Genomic DNA, 17,258 nt, shown 5'->3' with positions numbered 1-17,258 from the left:
ATTTCCAAATAAAGTCACACTCTGAGGTTCTGGGAGACATGAGTCTGGAGGGGCACTATTCAATCCACTACACTGCCTTAGTTGAAATCTTCCGTTGAAAATTACAGAAAAACATATGAGCCAGATTATGAAAATGAAAGAGATTCTATTCATAGGACACAGGAGTGGTTTACAGACTCTCAGGTCAGTAAAGCCATCAGGCCTTAGAAGGAAGACCCGGGAAGTGCACGGCTGTCAGATGGCTCCGTTCCCTCTCTTCTTCTTATCAGAGCCTCCCCGTGCCTGTCGGCTTCATTCTCTCTGCAGCTGGCTTTCTCTGTGGCACCATGCCCTCGGCCAGCAGCAGATGACCAACTCAGTGCTCCAAAGGTTACATTTCTGTTCAAGCAATCAGTCCAAATTGAATAGTCTTGGCCCCAATTCTAAATTCTCAGGAGGGAGAATCTGATGGACTCATCTAGGATCAGATGTTTAATCCTGGTCTAGTTAATTGTGGGTAGGTGGGTGGAGTGATAGAGTAAATCTTCTATCTATCTAGAGGTAGAGGCGTCCCAGTGGCTGGAAAGCCAACACTCAGAGAAAGAAGAGTCACTGCAAGCTGGATAGATAGCCCAAAAAAGGTCTAGACAGATCTTGTTTTATAGCATTTAGCAGCATGCAAAGTGTTTTCATTTATACTCTCATTTGATTTGTGCAAATTCCTATGGAGTCGGCATAACTAGCATTTTGCTCATTTTGTACATGTAGAAACAAACTCAGAGAATTTAATGGTTAGCCCATAAAGATGGCCAGGGTCAGAAGTCACACACAACATTAGGTCTTCTGGGTCCTGACCCAATTCACCTTACTATACAACACAGAAATGTAACTGACTTTGTCATTTTTATTACAACCAATTGTCAGTTATACACAGATTTATTATCCAAGTTCACAAACGTAGTTTTATAAAAATAAAATTTTAGTAGTCTAAAGATTACAGCCATTCTATTCTTGTCTGACGGATCCAAAGTTTTTCCCACTTATTTTCCTTCTTTCCTAGGCCACTGTTTCTTCACAATTCTCCTCCTTTGGCATCATTATTCCTCCAGAAAGTTCACTAGGATTTAGCACACTTAAATAAAAAGGACAGTAGTTTTCTTTTTAACATTTAAACTCAAATCACTCCTCCTTTGCATTTAATGGTTTCCTTCTATGAATTCTGGCATCTAATTAATTGACAGTGTTGGGAAAACGGGGTTATACCTTTGCAATCCTCTTACTCATCTCTTTTTTATATTTTCATTTTTGTTTTTGAGACAGGGTCTTACTCTGCCCCCAGGCTGGAGAGCAGTGGCATGATCACAGCACACCGTAGCCTCAACCTCCCAGGATCAAATGATCCTCCCACCTCACTACATGGGACTACAGGCATGCGCCACCATGCCTGGCTAATTTTTATTTTTTTATTTTTAGTAGAGATGGGGGTCTTACTATGTTGCCCAAGCTGGTCTCGAATTCCTGGGCTCAAGCAATTGGCCTGCCTTGGACTCCCAAAGTGCTGGGATTTCATTATTCATCTCTTACATTTTCTCTGAGGCTTGTTTCCCACAGTCTCTGGTTCAGGTTCTCCCTTCTCATTTTTTTTTTTTTTTTTTTTTTCACACATTGCTCTTCCCAATCCTGTCACCTCTTAGTGAAGGATTTTGCTTCCTGTTTACTGAAACTCCCTTAGTTAACCTGGCCTTGTTTAATTCCCTTGAACTTTCTGTCTCTATTTTATGTTTACCTCTTTCAATTATCTCAGGATAAAATCATCCCTCTTCTCTTCAGAGATAAGTTCTCTCCTAAAGCTTCCTAGAACCATTAACCTCACATAATTTCCTCTAACAATTAAAGCTTGCTTTCTCAGCTGCGTCCTCTTTTGCTTTTCTTTTTTGCTTTTCTCTTTTTTTTTCTAAGAAAACCAACCAACAGCTGCCTAGCCTTTGCCTTGCTACCCCTTTCTGTCTTTCCAGCTATACTTCTTGAATAAATGGTCTTTGTTCTCTACCTTAATTTTGTCTTCTTCACTCCTTTCTTTTTTCAGTATGGTGTCATTCTCCTGAAACTTCTCTCTCTCTCTTTTTTTAATGCCTTCAATTTCTTTCCTCACTTTGTTCATGTTTTCATTTAAATAGTCAACAATAATTATAATAGGTGTTTTAATATTCTTCTCTGCTAATTCTGTATCTGTCATTTCTGGGTCTGTTTCCTTTGAGTGATTATTTTTCTGGTTATGGGTCACATATTTCTGCTTCTTGACTTGTTTAGTCATTTTTTATTGGATGCTGAACATTGTCAGTTTTATATTATTGAGTGTCTAGATCTTACATCTTCCTTCAAAGACTGTCGTGTTTTGTAGTGGCAGGCAGAAAGGTACTTGTGGTTTAGTTTGGCCCTTTTGGGATTTGTTTTCAAGCTTTGTTAGGGCAGACCTAAAGTAGCTTTTATCCTAGGAACAGTTTAGTAACATTTCCAAGGCATGGCCCTTCTAGTGCTTTCACTGAATGCTCCGAGTGATCAGTGAGGACACTCCCCTCTGGCTGGTCAGCCCTTGAGCAATTCCCAGCCCTTCGTAAGCTCAGGAACTGCTGTTCAGTTCGCAATCTCTCTTCGCTCAATGGAGTTTCACCATATTCAGCAAAGGCTCAAAATGACACCATGCAGATTTCTGGAACTCTCTTTCTGAGAGAGAAACTCTGCAACTCTGCCCTACAATTTCCAGCTACCTCAACCCTCCTGAATTCTGATCTTGGTCTCCTCAACTCAATAAGACCATTGTGTCTTACACAGGTGCCCTTCCCTGCTGCATCACTAGACATGTGTCTTCAGGCAGAAAGCCCGGGGGATCTTAAGGCCGCATTATCTCAGGGATCACAGTCCCATATTACCTATCATCCAAAGTCTGGAAACAGCTGTTTCACATATTTTGTCTGTTTTTCTAGTTCTTCAAGGTGAATTCCAGTTCCAGCTACTTCATTATGGCCAGAAGTTGGAATGTCTGAAACTACTCTTTTGAAGAACATCATGACTGTTTCTAAGTAACCAAAGGCTTTCTTTATTCCTCTTGTTTTAGAACAACACTTGATCACTGGCCATTGCCTTCTTAAAATTCTGCTCCCTGAACCATCCTACCCCCTTACCATTCCCTCCCTACTTCTTCTTATCTTTCCTTTTCCAGAGGGGCTGGAAAGTAGGCAAGCTCAAGAATAAAGCAGGTTGTAAATGGCATTGGCAATTTCCAGTTTGATCAGGGAGCACAGCTGGAGGAACCCGGGCAGTGTTTTTTTTGGCAAAAGTCTCCTTTTTAATCCTCATAGTTAGCATTTAACAAATTTGCTGATTGATTTTGGGCCCACTATACTCTAATTTCTTTTTTATTTATTTATTAATTTTTTTGTTTTAGAGATAAGGTCTCACTCTGTTGCCCAGGTCAGAATGCAGTGGCATAATAACAGCTCACTGAGGCCTCAAACTCCTGGGCTCAAGTGATCCTCCCACCTCAGCCTCCTAAGTAGCAAGGACTACAGGCTTGTGCCATCAGACACACCCAGCTAATGTTTTAGTTTTTATGTAGAGACGGGGTCTTGCTATGCTGCCTAGGCTGGTCTCGAACTCCTGGCTTCAAGTGATCCTCCTGCTTTGGCCTCCCAAAGTGCTGGGATTACAGATGTGAGCTGCCTTGCCTGGCCCCACTATACTCTCATCAATTAGTGGGATGGTTGAGAGCTGACTGCATTTAAGATGTACATATTTCAGTATGAATGCTATTATTTCCTAGTCTCATATGGGGTATTTCTCAGGAAAGTATGATCAAATCATTTGAGATTCAAATTATCAAGATTGTCATCTTTGCCAGGTTTCTTGTACTCCATTTTTATCTTGGTAGGTTCTCAACTTGTACAATTCCCCTGCGGGTCCTTTCCAGACCCAATAGTTACTCTTTTTTCTTTTTCAGTTTGTATATGTGTTTCTGTTCTGGGTGGTTTAGCAATACACTAACATTTTTTTTTTTTTACTTTGTTTCTTATGTCAGGTAAGATTAAGTAGGTTAATATCTCTACCGTAAATTATGCTTTTCATTTATTTGGGTTAATGATTCCAGACCCCTACAGGCAGAGGCATCCACAAATCCAAGCTGATTATGCTGCCACCGAAATTCAAACCTTATTTTTTCCCCTAAGGATATTTCTATTAATTATATTTAACTTCTACATGTATTTAATATAAAACAAATTTAACTGCATCAAAAAGAAATCTGTGACAAACAGAATAATGCTTAAAAGTAATATAGTGTTTCATATCCATCACAAGAAAATAACTCAGATACTCTTAGGGCATTTGCTGTAACTTTTATTGACATTAGATGGCATTAAGATAGCCAAACATCAAGCAAAGAATAATTATCTTTCTTTCAATTATTATTCCAACTCTCTTTCAAGAAACTTGTCAACACATGCTTGATGTGTTGAGAAATAAAGCCACTTTAAAGGAATCATGATCAAGCTCAAACTGATAATGTTTAAAATTAAGGACAATTAAATGTTTGCTTATCCTAGGAGTTAATCTGCTACCCTTGAGACCTCACTTCACCTCTTCTAAGATTATTTTTAAAATGAACAGATTGATTTTTCACAAAATGCCCCCATAGATAATGGTTTCCTTAAACAAATAGAATGTTTAGAAATCCTGTGCTGTTTTGGCATCCCTGGTTACCTATGTTTAAAGGAGAATTTAGGCCGGATGCGGTGGCTTATGCCCATAATCCCAGCACTTTGGGAGGCTGAGGCAGGCGGATCACCTGAGGTCAGGAGTTCGAGATCAGCGTGACTAATATGATAAAACCCTGTCTCTACTAAAAGTACAAAAATTAGCCAGGCATAGTGGCAGGCACCTGTAATCCCAGCTACTCGGGAGGCTGAGGCAGGAGAATTGCTTGAACCCGGGAGGCAGAGGTTGCAGTGAGCCGAGATGGCGCCACTGTACTCCAGCCTGGGCAACAGAGTGAGACTCCATCTCAAAAGAAAAAGAATTTAAACTGAAGTCATATCCACAAACATACAACAAGAAAATGGATTCTGAGTCATAGCTATAACTCTTTGTCTTAGCCTAGAAAGCAAAGATGGAGGCAAGGGCATATACAAATAGTTTATTATTATTATTATTTGAGATAGGGTCTCACTCTGTCACTCAGGCCAGAGTTCAGTGGTGCAATCATGGCTTACTGTAGCCTCAACTCCTGGGCTCAAGTGATCCTCCCGCCCCAGCTTCCCAAGTATTTGGGTCTACAGGCACACACCACTATGCCTGACTAATTTTTTGTTTGTTTTTCTTTTGTAGAGACAGGGTCTCGCTAAGTTGATCAGACTGATTTTGAACTCCTCGCCTCAAGCGATCCTCCTGCCTTGGCCTCCCAAAATGCTGGGGTGAACCACCACACCTGGCCTAATATTGTATTAGAAGGAAGGGAGTACAATTCCAGGGCAGCAAGAGTGAGTAAAAAGGAAGTCAGTCAGGGATGGAGAAAAAGCAAGTGCAAAGTGGGGCATCAGGAAGCGGGCTACAGCTTCATGAGATCACACAGTGGGTTGCTTGGTTGGGCTGTATGTAATTATGGTGCACAGAGTGGTCCACCAAGGAGTGAGGGGGATGACTTAACGTGTGGGCTCCTTTGCACCTCCTGTCTCTCTTTGGTCCAAGTAGACCTCAAAGAGTGATAACTCTCTAGCACTCTCAGGCAAAGACCCCTCCAGGCAGCCAATGGGGAAGCCACATCCTGAGGCACAGTGCTATCTCTGCATCTGGAAGTCGGGGGAGGTGCCAAAGACTCCACAGTCTGGTTGGACTGACTTGAGAAGCAGTTCTGCTACAGCTCTCACTGTGTGGGCGCAATGGAGGCCATGCCTGAGGTAGTCACTCCATAGGAGAAGGTGTGCACCACCAGAGCTGTCCATTCTGCAAGCAGCTCAGAAGCCAGTCAGGCAAATCTGGGGAAGCTCATGAAAAAGCTCACGATTGTCCTTATTGTTATTCAGGCCCCTTTCTCAAAATTCCATTTAAAACACACTTTCTGAGGACCTATTATTAATATTTGCCAGTCTTTCTGCCATAAGCACTAAGATAAAGAAAACAGAGTCTCTGGCCTCCGAATGAACTACAATTTATTGTAATAAATACTAAGACCCGGCTGGGCGCGCTGGCTCATGCCTGTAACCCCAGCACTTTGGGAGGCCGAGGCGGACAGATCACCTGAGGTTGGGAGTTTGAGACCAGCCTGACCAATACGGAGAAACCCCCGTCTCTACTACAAATACAAAAAAAGTAGCCGGGCATGGTGACCCATGCCTGTAATCCCAACTACTCAGGAGGCTGAGGCAGGAGAATTGCTTGAACCCAGGAGGCGGAGGTTGTGGTGAGCCGAGATCGAGCCATTGCACTCCAGCCTGGGCAACAAGAGCAAAACTCCGTCTCAAAATAAATAAATAAATAAATAATAAATATATACTAAGACCCTGGGACTTTGTATTAGTCTGTTATCATACTGCAATAAAGAAATACCTGAGACTGGGTAATTTATAAAGGAAAGAGGTTTAATTAACTCAGAGTTCTGCATGGCTTTGGGAGGCCTCAGAAAACTGACAATCATGGCAGAAGGTGAAGGGGAAGCAGGCACCTCCTTCACAAGGTGGCGGGAGGGAAGTGAGGGAGAGCGAAGGGGAAAGAGCTCCTTATAAAGCCATCAGATCTCGTGAGAACTCACTCACTATCACGAGAACAGCATGGGAGAAATCTGCCCCCATGAGCCAGTCACCTCCCACCAGGTCTCTCCCTCAACCCCTGACGATTACAATTCAAGATGGAATTTGGGTGGGGATGCAAAGGCAAACCATATCAGACTTTAAATGAGAAAAATGAATTCCGTCTGGGAGAGAACAAGGAAAGCAACAAAGAAGAAAATGTAGATGAATAAAGTAGCTTCATCTGATTCAGCTGAGACTATGGAAGGGAAGGATAAAGACTAATGAGACACACAGAAGATTAACCAAGAGTATGCATCCTGTCTCCTGAGTATGGAAATGAGGCTATCTCTGAGTGACCCCTGTAGCAGGTTAGGATCTTTCGCTCCCTCAATTTTCTACTGTGATGGCCACATATAAGGCATTGTGGCAATTAACAAAAAAGCCAACTAATCATGATTTAAACCATACAAGCTTTCATTATTGACTTGGTAAGTTCAAAGCTGGCCATCTCAGAGTAGTTTTGGAAACCAAAAGTGTCACCAAGAATCCAGGGTCTTTATTCTGTCCTGCTTTCTTCAACTTGTTGGCTTTCATTCTTAGGTTGATTGCCTCATGATTCCAAAATGATCGCTGCAGCTCCAAACATTACATCTTCATAGAGTAATATCTAGAAAGAGAAGGAAGCAAGGGGACAATAAAATGCTTTCTTCTCAAGCATTTCTCTGTTACCAAATAACTCTTTCCCAGAGGCTCCCTTAGACATCCATTTATACCCCATTGACCAGAACTGGGTTGCATGTCCCCACCCTAGATTAATTAGTGGATAAAGAGATTAAGAGTGCCATGATTTAGTTAGATCCAGCAAGATGTTTCTTTTGGGGCTGGGTTCATAATTGCACATCAAAATTGGCCTCCTCGTTGATGAAGCCAGTGTGTTCTTTCTAACAAACTGATGATGTCACTGTTATGCCTGAAATTCTTCTATGGCTCTTTCTTGTCTATAGGGCAAGTCCAAGTTCCATGACTATTTATGCTTCTTCGTGTCAGCTCTTCAACTTCACCCCCTCCTAATCTGCCAAGGCACTCTGTTTCAGATCTGTGGAATTAGCTGAGATTCCCGGAATGCCCCATGCTTGTTGCTCCTTCTAGTGCTTTGTATAGATTGTCTCTTCTGGCTTTCCACATTGTTTTCTTAGCAACTACAACTTATCTTTCAAATATAAACTTAAATGCCTCCTCCTCAGAAAGCCTTCCAGGATGTTCCTCTTCTGTTTTCTCAAAAGTGCCCTGTTTATACCCCTTTTATGACATATACAGCCCTGTGGTAATTACTTGTTTCTTCATCTATCTCCTTTACTTGACTGGAAATCTCTAGAGTTTAGCCCGGTACCCAGAATGAAGCAGCCACTTAAAAAGTGACGATTAAGTGAAAAATCCCTATGGTTGTGTGCTTTCAAACTCAACCAGGTCTTTATTGGTTTGATTTGTTGCTGGTTAGATCCTGACCCTGGGGACCATTTCAGACACTCCTCACCCTGCCACAGCATAAAGCCCAGGCTTTGTCTCTCTCATCCTCAGCAGATGATCTCAATGTCTACTTTTTTAACAAAGTATAATTGCTATTTCATTTTTTTCCAGAGGATAGTTTTCCATCCTTAAGATTGAAAACACCTTATACGGGCTTTCGCGGAGGTCATGGAACAGCACCATTAGGTCTAAATCAGGGAGGGGTATTGGATCCTTCTGGGCTTCATGAGAATGACTCCTGACTACTTTTCCATGAATGGCACAACTCATATCACAATGCAGTTTCTCATACAGCTGGGAAGCACAGGTGTTAAAGACACTCACTTCAGAAATGGCCCTGATGGCTATGGCCTCTACTTTGTTTTTAATGACGAACTTAATGGCCTTGTCCTTGGGCACACATTGGGTGCAGTTGTACAGGGAACAGGCTGTGTGTGGCCTTGGCCCTTTTTGGCACAATCAGTTTCTTCTTTTCTTTTTCTTGTTTTTTTTTTTTTTTTTTTTTTTTTTGAGACAGGGTCTCGCTTTGTCACCCAGGCTGGAGTGCAGTGGCGCCATCTTGGCTCACTGCAGCCTTGACGTCCGGGGCTGTAGTGATCCTCCCACCTCAGCCTCCCACATAGCTAGGACTATAGGCATGCGCCACCACAGCCAGCTATCTTTGTATTTTTTGTATGGACAGGGTTTTTCCATGTTGGCCAGGCTGGTCTTGAACTTATGGACTCAAGTGATCTGCCCACCTCAGCCTCTGAAAGTGCTGGGATTACAGGCGTGAGCCACTGCACCTGGCCACTGTTTCTTCTTTTCTTTGTCATCTTGGAAGTGAGGACCTGAGAGAGCTTTACTTCTATTTAGAGTTCACTGAGACACTAATTTCAGGGTCTTCGATGTTCCTTCATTCACTTTGACCCTCATTCTCAACACCTAACATTTCTGTTGCTCACTCTCTTCATCCCACTCATCTCAAAGGAAAAGGTCTCCCTTCTCCCTAAGGATCTCACATCCTCCACCCCCTTCTTGGACCTCTCTCGCCAGAATCTTCTATCTTCCCTTTGATACCTATTAGCACTCTGGTCTCCTCCCAACCATAACACACCCATCAGACTGGATACCCTTGCACTGTCTTACATTTCAAAAGATTCCTGTCCTGTTGTCAATGCCTCAAAGCAAGCCCTTAAAGCAGGGGTTGCTAGAACTGGTAGCTCAAATACCAGATAGAGCCTATAGGGGTGTTCTACTCAACCTTCACGGTGTTTTTAAAAGTGGGAAATTTCACTTAAAAATGAGGATTCCAGACTTTTCCATAAAGGTCACACAGCTGACTGGTCTGAGCCACCTTTTCTACATGGCAACAATGATGTGGGTACAGCCGCTAGCCACTACCTTTGGGTGGGGCATGTGGTCACCAGGTTGTCAGAGTATCCTTCTTGTAAGCATTTGAATTTTCAGCCGCCTAGACTTGTGGTTTTGTCCTGTATTTCACCTGGAAGTGCCCTCTTGAAAGTCATTGGTGATTTCTTAGTCATGAGATACACAGGTGTTTGCTCCATCTCCATTGTCCTTGAACTCTCTGTACTTCCTGACCACCTCTCTAGAAACTACACCCCGCTTGGCTTCCTTAGACCTTATGTTCCTGGTTCTCCTAGATTCCTAATGCCATTTTTTTAAGGTATACATGTGAATACGAATTTGCAGTAGAAAATACGATATAATATAAAATTTTAATAGCTGACAAATACAAAACCATTACACAATAAAGGAAAATAATGTTTTTACTCAGTAATTGCCTGACACACCTTTATAACTTTTTTTCCTACTAATTTTGGCTTCATGTTCATTGATAACCTTCTCATATGATGATTCTTAATATCTATCTTTTTTGTACAGGAATGTTTATTGCAGCATTATTTATAATACCAAAAGGTGGAAACAACCCAAATATCCATCAACTGACAGATAGATAAACAAAATGTGGCATATCAGAGCTGTGTGCTGTGGCTCACAGATGTAATCCCAGCTACTTGAGAGGCTGAGGTGGGAGGATTACTTGAAGCCAGGAGTTTGAGACCAACCTGGGCAACATAGCGAGACCCCATCCCCCCAAAACAAAAACCAAAATGTGGCATATCCCTAGAATGGAATATTATTTGTCAACGAAATTAAGTAGTGAAGCCAGCCACAACATGGACAAACCTTAAAAACACTATGCCAAATGAAAGACACAAAAGACCTCAAATGACATCATTATTCCATCCATGTACAGCATCCAGAACAGGCAAACTCATGGAGACAGAAAGTAGATTGGTGAGCACTGGGGGCTGGGAGGCCGGGGATGGAAGGGAAGGGAGTGGTAGCTAATGGGCCTCTTTTTCTCCCCCAGTGTGTTTTTTATTGTGTTAAAGTTCACATAACATGACATTTATCACCTTTGACCATTTTTGCTGGCTGTGTTCCTTCTGCCTCCTAAATGAAGGCTTCTCCTAAGGTTTGGTCCTGGAATTTTCCAGCTAGGATCCCCTTCATCTTCATGGGATGAGTGGAGTCATGTAGCTTTTGCCATCCATCCCTTTTTGTCAAGAGCTGCCAAATTTCTCTCTGTCCCTGTCTCTCCCTCACGTTCTTTTCACACATCTCCAATGATCTGATGGAAATCTCCTCCTGGTTGTGTTTCTAGCACCTTACATATATTATATCTGAAACACAACTTGTCATCTTGCCTCTGTCCCCCTCCCCCTAACCAAACCAGGTCCCTTTCAATTAATTAACTGTGATGGAGTTCTCACAGTAACCCTTTCCTTTGCACATCCCCTTCCTTTGACCTCCACAGCATTTCTTCAGGCCTTTATAACATCTAGCTTCCCACCTGGTCTCCCTGCCTCCTCCCTCTCATCCAAATGTCCTTCCTTGCATCCTGGAAAAATTATCTTTTTAAAACATTGCTGTGATAATGTCTTTCTCCTGCTCTCTATTCAGTAGCTGAGGGAATGGGCCATGAAAATTAGTCAGGATTCTTGTCCACTTTCTTCTCAACAATCCAGTTACATTTTACCCTCAAAGACAATGACAACCCACCTTTTCCACACCACTGTTGGTGCTTAAGAGACTGTTAGTGGATCTCTATCAGTTGAAGAAGAATTTCCAAAGCTTCTGACCTTCAACCACTCAGGCCCAGCCAGATTTCCAACCTTATCTCCCACCGCTTTTTGACACCTACCTAACATCACCTGGGCAACTTAAAGAAACCTCATGTTTTTTCTTCCTTTGCTGATGCAGGTCTATTGTTTGGAAGGTCCTCCCAGCATTCACTGAGGCCTTTCTCAAATGTCTTACTAGCAATGCCATCTGTCACACACATTCTTGCATTGTATTTATGCCCAGGTCTTTTCTGGCTCACTATATTGTATGCTCTTTGAGAGTAGGGACTGACTCCTTCTCTATCCTTTGTCCCATCAGAGTGCTCAACACATGACTTTCTTTCCTTCAACAACTATTTATAAAAACCTTCTATAACGGCAGGTACTAAGCCGGGGCCTGGCATACAAAGATGAATGAGGCATAGTCCCTGTCTTGATTCAACCTAATGAAAATGACACATGAACCCATGACTATAAAGTTGGCTGAGGCCAGGTGGTGGCTCACACCTGTAATCCCAGTACTTTGGGAGGCCAACGCAGGAAGATCACTTGAGACTACGAGTTCAAGACCAGCCTGGGCAACATAACAAGACCCCGTTTCTACAAAAAATTTTAAAAATTAGCCAGCTGTGGTGGGGCACAACTGTAGCCACAGCTACTAAAGAGGCTGAGGAAAGAGGATGTCTTGAGCCCAGGAGGTTGAGGCTGCAGTGGGTCATGATCGCACCACTGCACTCCAGCCTGGGCAACAGAGTGAGACCATGTCTCTAAAAAAAAAAAAAAAAAAAAAAGTAAAATAGGATGAGCACAATAGGTGTATATACAAAGCATAGGGAGAATTTATTCATGGAGGATGACTGAGAACAGGAAAGTGAGGCCTCAGAGGAGGTGACATTTGGATTGGGCACTAAAGGAAGAATGAGCAGAGGTGAGCAGGGGAAATGACTAAAGTAAATTTTAAGCCTCATATACATATATATATATATATATATGGCTTAAATTATATATGTATTTAATATAAAAATATTTTCATATAAAACATATTTAGTACATATATATTTATACATAAAACATATATATATGTTTTAGGAGATGGGGTCTCACTATGTTGCCCAGGCTGAACTTGAACTCCTGGGCTCCAGCGATCCTCCTGCCTTAGCCCCCCAAGAAATTAGGACTACATGTATGCACCACTATGCCTGGCTCAAGCCAGCTATATTTACAACTTATTGGCAATTATGATGAAGGTAGCAAAGTTGAAGGATTAGCTCAAATGCATTTAGATTATGTAGGCTTTAGTTTGGTATGAAACAGATGAGAGTTAATGCTATCACACAGGGATAGATTCTACCAAGGGAAATATGTGGAAGAAAAAAACCAACTTCAATTACTCTAATTCTTGGTTGTTGACTCCCTCCAACACATACATTCCTTTGTTGACAAATGAATGTTTTAGATGAGCATTTGTTTATCACAGACATTTAACAAAGAAGGAGAGCAAACTGACAATCAAGATTTGGTGCAGATCAGAAAACCAATAAACAATGTTTTTTTTGAGACAGAGTCTCACTCTGTCACCCAGGCTGGAGTGCAGTGGCAAGATCTTGGCTCACTGCAACCTCCACCTCCCGGATTCAGGCAATTCTTGTGCCTCAGCCTCCCTGGTAGCTGGGATTACAGACGTGTGCCATCCTACCCCGCTAATTTTTGTATTTTTAGTAGAGACAGGGTTTCACCACATTACTTTATGGGCCAGGCTGGCTAGTAAATAATGCCTTATACATATTGCAAGCATAGGATCTTCAGTACAGAAATGAAAGATTTTGGAACTCTTCCCTTTACTGAATATGACTTGAACAGCATTATCACCTGCCAAGGCTGAAGTCACTGCTAAAATGGCTTCCCAAATAGGAGACAATCCCCAGAATCTGTCTCTATCAGAAGAATGACCTTTGATTTCATCTCTAAAATACACAAGCTTTATTTGACTAAGGTAAACGAAAGAGCCAGAAACTTTAAATATAGCTTATTTTATTTGATCATCTTAACTGAAATCTCTTTCTGTGTGAGAAAAGATTTCCCCATCAGCAGTTTTTTTAAGGGGCATTTGGCTTCAAAAGCTTTTATTGCTTTTTTTTTTTTTTTTTTTTCCCTATTGTAAGAATATTAAGCCAAGCATTTCTGGGGAGACACGCAACAAAAATGCCAGCGTTAAACGAAGTGCTGCTGATTTCCAAAGGGACCATTTCTGCAGTAACAAGCGGCTGCTGTTGTTTTCACAGAAACACCAACAAATAGTCACAGAAACACAGTACGTGGGTAGTGATCATTAAATTAAGTATTTCCTCATTTTAAAGCTAGTTCTAAAACAACACAGAATTACTAGTGAACACAAATAATTAGACTTCTGTAACCGATTTCTGTAGAGTCACAGGATTTTTAGCCTCCTACCAAGGCAGCCTTATGTTCAGGCATCGGTCATACGTTCTCATCTGCTCAGAAGCCTCAAAGTAATCACCCAAGATCTTGATAATTTAAGACCTGACTAGCCAGGTGTGGTGGCTCACATGTGTAATCCCAGCACTTCAGGAGGCTGAGGCGGGAGGATTACTTGAGCTCAGGAGTTGAAGACCAGCCTGGGCCACATAGTGAGATGCTCTCTCAACAAAACATCAAAAAATTAGCCAGGTGTGATGGCATATGCACCTGTAGTCCAAGCAACGTGGGAGGCTGAGGCAGGAGGATCACTTGAACCCAGGAAGTTGAGGCTGCAGTGAGCCATGATCATACCACTGCACTCCAGCCTGGGCAACAGAGTGAGATTCTGTCTCAAAAAAAAAAAAAAAAAAAAATTTTTAAAAAATGTTTAAGCCATGACCAACTTGAGTATTTTATTTTATTTTATTTTTATTTACTTATTTATTTTTAAATTTGGGACAGAGTTTTGCTCTTGTTGCCCAGGCTGGAGTGCAGTGGTGTGATCTTGGCTCACTGCAACCTCCGCCTCCTGGGTTCAAGTGATTCTTCTACCTCAGCCTCCCGAATAGCTGGGATTACAGGCACCCACCACCATGCCCGGCTAATTTTTGTATTTTTAGTAGAGATGGGGTTTCACCATGTTGGCCAGGCTGGTCTCGAACTCCAGACCTCACCTTATCCACCCACCTCGGCCTCCCGAAGTGCTGGGATTACAAGCATGAGCCACCGCCACCGGCTGACCAACTTAAGTATTGACTGTTCATCTCTCACCATAAAATTCTTATTGTTAAAATTAAGCACTGGGCATTGATTGTTACACATTGATCTGAGCGAAGTAGCCTGTCATAGATGCCTTGTCTTCCCAAACCCCGACCCTGTGAAGCAAGTCTAGGTTACCTACTGGCGTGGGAGGGCTGCAGGCAGATGGGCAGGAATGTGACCCAGGTGCTTCTTGGGCTGCCCTTTGAACCACATCCATGGAACTCTTTGCCTACTGGTGATAAGTGACTCTGCACACTGATAAGCACCATTTAGAAACACCATTCTGATAACCATCACTAGGCCACTGTGAGTGTTGTTGAGTTCTGGAATTTTCCTTGGGGCCGATTGTTTTGCAATATGTCTCTCAGGCAAATCCCAGTTCCGTATGTAGTTGCAGGACTGTAAATTGCATAGAATTTGGGAGAATTTCTTTTTCTTTTCCTTCTTTTTGTTGCTAGATAACAAATTAAACACATCAGAGGATTGAAAAGCCTCTAAGTTGTTTGTTGTTTTATGGGGAGGAGAACAATGGATTCACCAGGCTGAATTCTTAGTGCCTGTTTGCTCTTTGAAGCAGTTTGCAGGTGAGCGATGGTGGCAGCGGCACACACAGGGAACTGAAGTTGGAATGCACAGCAGTTCCCACTCTTCCTCCACTGAGGTAGGACCGCGGGCCTGGGAGATGCCAGGCCTGAAGGATCCAGCTGCCTCTGGCTTCCAAGGCTGGTGTAATGGCTCAGTTCTCACAGAAGTGCTGACAGAATATGACAAATAGAAAACAGATGTGAACTGACCTTCCAAAAATGTATTGCAAGGCTTCTTAATCTTCACAGGAATTCTTCAGAGTGAGAGATGCCACCTTCAGGCAGCAATGCTCATGGCATCTTAAAGGGTTGATGTTTCTGCCTGTGATCCCCTCGCTAGTCGGCCACAACTGTTCTTCTTGCCCACTGCCCTCTCAGACATCTTTTTCTCGGCATCCATGTGTGAAATGGATGGATCCCCGACTGGCCAGGGGATCACAGGCAGTGAATCCTCTCCCTCACCTGTCCCCATACACAGTCTTGGCTTTTGTAGTTATAGCCACCTTTTCCTACACATTGAGGCTGTTCCTCTCCCATCTTTGCCATTGGATCTCTACTTGCTTTGAAATTGTTACTGTCACTGGGTCCATTGCTTGCTCCAAATACCTGTTTGTTTGTTTTTAAGACATGATCTCCCTTTGTTGCCCAGGCTGGAGTGCAGTGGCATGATCTCAGCTCAGTGCAGCCTCTGCCTCCTGGGTTCAAGAGATTCTCTCACCTCAGCCTCCTACAAGTGCCCACCACCATACTCGGCTAATTTTTGTATTTTTAGTACAGATGGGGTTTCACCATGTTGGCCAGGCTGGTCTCGAACTCCTGATCTCAGGTGATCTGCCCGCCTCGGCCTCCCAAAGTGTTGGGATTACATGCGTGAGCCTCCACACTTGGCCCCAAATACCTTTTTGACACTAAATGTTGGTTTGGAGCTACTGAGTACACTGGACTTTTGCCCACTGAACAACTTAAGTTAGATCTACTAAGTAGAGGGGTGCAAAGGACAACAGGGGAATCAACATCCCCTGTTTCTTTCTCTCTTACTGCCTTCCTGGTCCCTGGCTTCTAGGTCAAAGTGCTGCTCCTTATGTAGGCAAGTGTGCGCTCAGCATGCATGATTCTGTGGCTTTTTGAATTGCTTAGTGTACGTTCTTTGTGAACATCTGCATGCATCCTGCAGGAATTTAGGTAGCATTTCTCAGATTTTTGTCCCCCAGTCTCTATAATACATTGATGGAGACTTTCTTTCTTGCCAAATTATTGATATCCCAAAAAGAACTGATGGCAACATTTCCGCTGAGAAAGAAAGCCACGTAAGTACAACACAGTGCGAATTCATTCCCAGTGCCACTGATGAGCAATCAACGACATCACCCCAGTTAATCTCAAATCCATCTGGCTTCAAAGTCTAGGCACTTTTCAGCGGGCCAAGCCAGGTCTCACTTTGGAAGTCAAGGGGATTCTGTGCTTAAGAAGTCAGTGCATTGTCCTACCTCCAGACGTTATATGCCAAGAAAGTTCATCTTATTTTGAAGCAAACTCAATAAAATGTTCTGGACAGAAATGGACAGAGTTTGTGGAATCTGAATCTTTTCCTATTCCTGTATAGCTTAAGACTAAATAATTTGTCCAATTTGGGGGACAATAAGAAATGTACTCTTCGGGCATGGTGGCTCATGCCTGCTAGTCCAGTGCTTTGGGAGGCTAAGATGGGAGGTTCACTTGAGGCCAGGAGTTTCAGACTAGCCTGGGCAACAAAGTGAGACCCCGTATCTACAAAAAAAGTTTTAAATTAGCCAGTCGCGGTAGCATGTTCCTGTAGTCCCAGCTACTGGGGAGGCTGAGGTAGTAGGATCACTTGAACCCAGGAGCTTGAGGCTGCAGTGAACTATATTGTGCCACTGTATTCCAGCCTGGGTGACAGAGCAAGACTGTATCTCTTTTAAAAAGTTAAAATTAAAAAATAAAATTAAAATGTTCTCTTTTTCAGAACATGCAATCGTTGCTTAGATATTTGAGTT

The 17,258-nt window shown here is 42.7% G+C and overlaps 1 protein-coding gene and 1 pseudogene across 1 annotated transcript in view, besides 3 other annotated features; both read right to left on the bottom strand.

Moving 5' to 3' along the window:
• Positions 4,354-17,258, bottom strand: part of YEATS4 (YEATS domain containing 4) — a 67,330-nt gene continuing 54,425 nt past the window's right edge. The window contains exon 8 of the transcript XR_944742.4: positions 4,354-7,425. The gene's annotated coding sequence lies outside the window, so the exon portion shown is untranslated. The remainder of the gene's footprint in view (positions 7,426-17,258) is intronic.
• Positions 8,431-8,749, bottom strand: RPS26P45 (ribosomal protein S26 pseudogene 45; annotated as a pseudogene).
• Positions 15,143-15,437: a silencer, noted in NCBI's record as "tiled region #8454; K562 Repressive non-DNase unmatched - State 8:EnhW". NCBI's record gives its function as "represses a minimal TATA promoter and a strong SV40 promoter by Sharpr-MPRA in K562 cells {active_cell/tissue: K562}" and the evidence as "EXISTENCE:reporter gene assay evidence [ECO:0000049][PMID:27701403]".
• Positions 15,143-15,657: a biological region, named in NCBI's record as "Sharpr-MPRA regulatory regions 8384 and 8454".
• Positions 15,363-15,657: a silencer, noted in NCBI's record as "tiled region #8384; K562 Repressive DNase unmatched - State 8:EnhW". NCBI's record gives its function as "represses a minimal TATA promoter and a strong SV40 promoter by Sharpr-MPRA in K562 cells {active_cell/tissue: K562}" and the evidence as "EXISTENCE:reporter gene assay evidence [ECO:0000049][PMID:27701403]".

Source organism: Homo sapiens, chromosome 12, assembly GCF_000001405.40.
Source record: "Homo sapiens chromosome 12, GRCh38.p14 Primary Assembly".
Classification (NCBI taxonomy): domain Eukaryota; kingdom Metazoa; phylum Chordata; class Mammalia; order Primates; family Hominidae; genus Homo; species Homo sapiens.
The sequence above is the reverse complement of the archived record's forward strand: the minus strand, read 5'-3'. Positions and strand labels throughout refer to the sequence as shown.